General features: G+C 55.1%; 1 annotated feature.

Moving 5' to 3' along the window:
• Positions 4,864 to 5,364: an enhancer, noted in NCBI's record as "H3K27ac hESC enhancer chr1:30481435-30481935 (GRCh37/hg19 assembly coordinates)". NCBI's record gives its function as "activates a minimal SCP1, AML or CMV promoter by ChIP-STARR-seq in naive H9 embryonic stem cells {active_cell/tissue: H9 hESC(naive)}" and the evidence as "EXISTENCE:reporter gene assay evidence [ECO:0000049][PMID:30033119]".

Here is a 5,939-nt window from a genome sequence, read left to right as displayed (position 1 = left end):
GGCTTTGCACTTTGGAATCAATGTCTCATTTCGTCCTGACCACATTCCCTTGGAGTAGGCACTGTCATGACTCCTGGTAACAGAGGGCACAGTGGACTCGTTCACACAGCTGGTCAGAGGAGGAGCTGGCCTTAATCTGGAGGCAATGGAATCCCATTCAGAGCCTTAGCCCTAAGCCTCTGACTCCCACAGTAGGGCCTGTGCTCCCTCTGCACTGCCTGGGCATCCCCAGCACTCAGGAGCCTCCCCTCCCTTCCCCCTTCCATGCTCCAAAGTGGCGCTTGGCCTGGAGCAGTCTAGGTGCGGGGCGGGCTCCCCCTCAGTGTAGAAGCAGACTCTGTGTCACATAGGGCTGGACTAGAGCAGCTTGAAGATGGTGACTGAGAAGGAAAGTCAATGAGCCCCCAATGCCAGCACGGGGTATTAAAGGTGACATATTCAGAGGCTGCAAGGTTTAAGACTGTGGGGCTTGGCAAGCCTTGCTGGTGCCACTTCCCTCACCACCCCGCACCCCAGTCAGTGATGGGGAGCTCAGAGATTTATGGTCTTAATAAAGAGAGTGGACAGGGCTTTCTGGGTAAGAGAACATTTCAGAGTTTGGTTGCCCTCCAGGAGACTGGAGGCAGCTCCACCAGTGCAGAGAAGCCAGACGTCAACTCTTTGTCTTACAATACATCCTGTGGAGGGGCATCAAGCCCAGCAGTGGTCACTGTCACATTCAGTAAGTGATATGAGGAAAACTGGCTTCCTTCCTCCTGCCCAGCTGACGCCCCAGGGACCTCCTCGACTTCCTTCATGGATTATTGTCTTAAAATTTAAAAACACAGCTGATTTCAGAGCTGGGTCAGCCTGGTCTCATCTGGACTCTGTCACCTACTAGCAGAATGATCTTGCAACCCCACATGTATCACCTCCCATCTCTAAGCCTCTGTTTTCTTGGTCACCAAATGAGGTCAAGGTTCTTGCCCTCCGGGCTGCACTGATTATGTTTGCAGCCCTTTGCTTCTTGCTGTTGTTCAGTCGAGGCTTCACTCCTTGTGGGATGGCTGTTTACAGATGTTCCTGGCAGTACCCCCAAATCAGGTTCTGTCTCCATTGTGTCCCAGGCCCAAGCACCCAGGACACGGGGCTGCTGTTTCCTTCACAGCAGCCAGCGGTCTCTGAGCCCTCACTGGGCCCCTGGCAGGTGCTTGGCACTCCATGGAGCTGTCTCTTCTCCTCTATCCTGTGAGGTGGGGCCACTATAGACATTGCTTTAGTAGTGAAGATTTTAGGCTCAGAGGAAGTGGGTTGCCCAAGTAAGTGCTCAAGCTGATTTCAGATGTGATAAGGGCTGTGACCAGAGTAAAACAGGATGGGATGTTAGTAAGTGCCAGGCAGGGAGAGGAGGCTGCTTTAGTTGGGGTAGTCAGGGAGGGCTTCTTGAAGGAAGGAGGCTAGACACACTCTACTCTCTGCTTCACTTGAGCAGAGAGTAGACTGTGGAAAAGAAGCCAGCACATGAAGATTTGGTGAGAGTAAAGGGGGCTGTGGGGACCTTAGGCCCTGGGAAATCTGGAGAGAGTTCAGTAAGGGAACCTGGGTCCTAGGTCCAGGTTCTGCACCTACTTTCTGAGTGACCTTGGGCAAGTTGTTCCTCTGTTTAATTTTTCCATCTACAAAATATGGTGTGATACACGTGCTTGCTCCATCTTGCTGAAGGTCACAGTGAGGCAACACGTCCAGATGCCAGAGGAGCCACAGAGTAGGGGAGACCTCGGGCCTGGGCTCATGTCTGCCAGGTCTTCATGGAGAGGGTGCCTGGGGGCGGCCCAAGAGGGCTAGATAAGTTCAGCATGGCTGAGCAGAGGCCCTCCCTGCTTCAAGTTCTCTCTTCCGCTCCTCCCTCTTTCCTCCCACCTGTTTAAAGCTCTGCACCCAGGGAGTCCTGCCCCACAGGCATCCCAAAGGCCTGGCCGGGTGCCCTTTGGGGTGATGATAGAGAGGAAGAGAGGGAGGTGCTGGCCAGTGGAAGAAACCAGAGAAAAAGACAAAGGAAATGCTTGGTATGTCTGGATTTGGAAAACCAAACCTTCCCTCGAAGGTTCAGGTCCAGGCTGGGACCTTCCTGCTGAATCCTGGCTCTCTGCCCCTCCCCCACATCTGGGGGCTCCTGCTTTGCTTCTGTACCTGGGCAAGAGTGAAATAGACACCTGGAGCCCAGTCAGCCACCAAGCAGCCACTAGAGAAGAGCCAGGTGCCCAGGCAGCAGGAAGGAGCCAGGAGAGGGGTGGGGAAGACGAGTGTGTGTGTGTGTGTGTGTGTGTGTGTGTGTGTGTGTGTGTGTGTGTGTGTGGTGGGAGAGAGAAAGAGACAAAAATAAAGAGAGATGCATACAGAGAGACATGCAGACAGAGCTAGACAGAAACACACACACCTGGTCAGGCACAGAGGCTCACGCCTGTAATCCCCACAGTTTGAGAGGCCAAGGCAGGAGGATCACTTGAACCCAGGAGTTTGAGGATGATCTGGGCAACATAGAGAGACCCTGTCTCTATTTAATAAAATAATAATAAAAAACACATCTGCATCCACACACAGTCAGAGACAGAGGGAGACAGAGAAAGCCCGAGACAGAGGGGACAACAGACAGAGGCTGGAGTTCTGGACATGAGATCAGAGGCACCAAGCCGGGATGTAGGGTGGCCAAGTGGAAAAGTAAAGACCAAGAGTGACAGGAGAAGGAGAAGGAGGGGGAGGAGGAGGAGGAGGAGATGGAGATGATGATGATGATGATAATGATGATGATATTGACAGGGAAGGAAGGAGAAGCGGGAGGCAGATTCACTGTGGTAGAGACACCAGAGGGAGGGGCCAGGAGCCTGGAAGTGGTGAAGAGCAGAGCCAAGCCGCCTCCCGCACTGCAGTGTCCTCGTCTGTAAAATGGGTGACAGCAGTGTTGGCAGCAGTGGGCCATCTAGTGCGGCCACTGCTATCATGCTGGCCCCTGCAGGGAAGACATGGGGAGGAGGCGGACGGGGGCCACTGTGACGGGACCGGGCCGGGTCACTTGCCAGCAGCACAGCAGGTGAGCAGCATGGTCAGGCAGAAAGGGCCCCCGATGCAGAGCTGGAACTGGACTTCAGGGGCCTGGGGCAGGAAGTGGGAGTGGCACCCACTTCAGGGACCTGGCCAGCAGCACGGCTACTGCACCTACCCTGCCGAGGGTGCCAGGTTCCTGGGCCTTGGGAGGAGGCTGTTTGTAGGGCTGCCTGGGGCTGTATCCCCAAGGTTGCCCCACGCCGGTGTGACCACTGAGCCACCACTCTGGCCAGGCCCCAGCTGCAATTTGCTCTGCCCTGGACCACCCCTGAGTGCCAGGGCAATGGGGGAGCTCCTGGTGATGTTGTCCCTGCCCTGGACACCTGCCCACCACCCCTAATGGCTGTAGCCGCCTAAGTTCGGTTAGTAGACCTGGGCCTCTGTGTGCCCTTGGAGAGCTGGGAGCAGGCAGGAGCCCAGCCCTCCTGGGTGCTGCTGCAGCCATCCAAACAGTGGCTGCAGATAGAGGCCTCCTGCTCCACGGAGCAGGCAGGAGTCCTGCCCCCCGAGGCACACCTGCGGCCGCCCAAACCAGTAGCTGCAGCCTTAGGCATCCCTGCACTCTTGGGGGCCCAGGAAGGCCCCCCTGCCCTTGCAGGCTCTGAAGTTCCTGCTCCTTCTGCCTTGTTTCTCCCTGCTGTTGGCACTGGCTCCATCTTCGAGCAAAGTCAGAGCCTAGCCTAGATGCCACGAACAGCAGCAGGAGGCAAACAGATTCCTGGGTGGAAGGCGGCAGGTCCCTGGTAAAGCCCCACCTTCAGGCCAGAGAGGGCCTGAAGGCTGGAGGCCAGACTGCCAGAACTTCTGACCTGAGTGGGGACTTGTGGTGCATTTTCTGGGCCCACCCATGGCTGCCCATGGACCAATCAGCACACACTTCCTCCCCTCTGAGGTGCATAAAAACCCCGGCTCAGCCAGAGCAGGGCAGAGAATGGAGAGACAATGGGATGACCAGCTGCAGAGGGGAGCTACCATCTCCAGGGCCTCCTCTGCTGAGAGCTGAACACTCGATGGGAAGACCTGCCTACAGAGAGGAGCTACCCACTGTGGGTCTTCTCTGAGCTGTTCCAACACTCAATAAAGCTCCTTTTCATCTTGCTCACCCTCCACTTTTCTGCTTACATCATTCTTCCTGGATGCAGGACAAGAACTCAGGCAAATGTGCCACCGGCCACAGAGGTTTCTGGCTGGAAAAGTGACACCCCAAAGATCCCGTAACAGCAGTATCCTTCACAGCTTGCTTGTGTGGGGTCAGTGAGCCATGAGCTTTCTACCTCCGTGGAGCCCTGGGAGCGACCCTTCTGTGGGGAGAACTGTGAGTGCATGACGTCAGGGGAGGGAGAGGCCCAAGGCTGGGCCAAAGAGAAAGAACCCCACAGTGTGCAGTGTCCCCACAGCCTGTCCTCTGCATCCATCTCCAGGACGCATCCTCATCTCCTTCCTTGACCTCTAGCAGTTCCTCTGTCTGTCATCCTCCTCTGGGCCTGCATCTGCGCGGGGGCAGCCTTTGAGTCCAGACTCGTCCATCTATTTATTGCACCCACTGTGCTGTGCACTGGGCTTCCAGTTCTATAACAATGAACTCGCTTAATCTTTACAATAGCCCCATTTTAATTATGAGGACACTGAGGTCAGAGAGGTTCAGTAACTTGCCCAAGGTCACACAGGAAGTGGAAGAAGCAGGCTCCTCCTCTGATTCTCTGGCTCAAAGTCCGGTGTTTTTCCTGCTGCCTCTAGATGAGGTGACTCAGGGCCGCCCCCCTCCCCCGGCCACTGGATTTGCAACATGTTCCTTCCTTTCTGATGCCCAGCTGACAGCTGCCTGCCTGCACAAAAGCAGATTCCTCCTCCCTTGGAACTCAAGGACCCCATCTGAGTCTCACAGATTTCCATGTTGGTACCAGCAGCAAAATATAGGATTGGGGAGCAAGCGAGTAAGAGAGGGAGAGATTCATTGATTCATTGAGAAATAGAGAAGAGACACTGAGGTAGGCTTCATGCACACCCAGAGAAGGACATACACCTGCCCACACAGACACACACACACACACAGCCTCCCACTCATACACACACACATACACTCTCACACTCATACACAAGTGGATCACATGGCAAAGGCTGGCAGGTGTGCACATACACACACACACTCTCTCTGTCTCTCTGTCTCACACACACACACACACACACACACGGACCACACAGCAGAGGCCAGCCGGCTCACGCAGCTGGCAAGAGGCAGACCCAGCATTTGAATTTAGGTTCTGGTGACTCAGGGAGTCACCCCTTTGCCAGGCTCCAGGGGAGGCAAAAACTCAGGTAGGAGGTCTATATAGCGTTGGTGCTTTCCAGCAGCTGAAACCCTGGAGATAAGCCTTGTGCAGGAGGCATCGTTATGACTTTGAAGCTCAGATAAACATTTTATGGAGCAGCCACCTCATGCCTGTCAGCCCAGGTTCTCTGGGAAGCAGACACTAAGAGGGAATTTGGAAAGCAAGAGTTTATTTATAGGGACGACTTGTGATAAAAGGGGAGCACACAGGTTTGCTCAGGGGGAGCCTGAGACCATGACGCCAATCTGTGTTTCCATCAGCCCCGTGGGATGTAGCGTAATAACCACTGGCCTTAGGGGAGTCTCCCACTGGCTGCTCAGTCAGCAGGAAGCAGGCCAAGGAGGCAGTGGGACCCCTCTGTGACTAGAACCTGGGGCCCAAGCTTCAGCTGCCGGTGCCACTGGGTGGGGTAGGGCTTGTCCTCATCAGGCCTGAGGTTTCAAAATTTGGGCTCAGTCTCTAACTGCAAAATCTTCTCAGCGTTCTGCACTGGACAGGCATAGGTCCTGGAGAATTTCCCCATGGACC

This window comes from Homo sapiens, chromosome 1 (genome assembly GCF_000001405.40).
Source record: "Homo sapiens chromosome 1, GRCh38.p14 Primary Assembly".
NCBI lineage: Eukaryota > Metazoa > Chordata > Mammalia > Primates > Hominidae > Homo > Homo sapiens.
The sequence above is the reverse complement of the archived record's forward strand: the minus strand, read 5'-3'. Positions and strand labels throughout refer to the sequence as shown.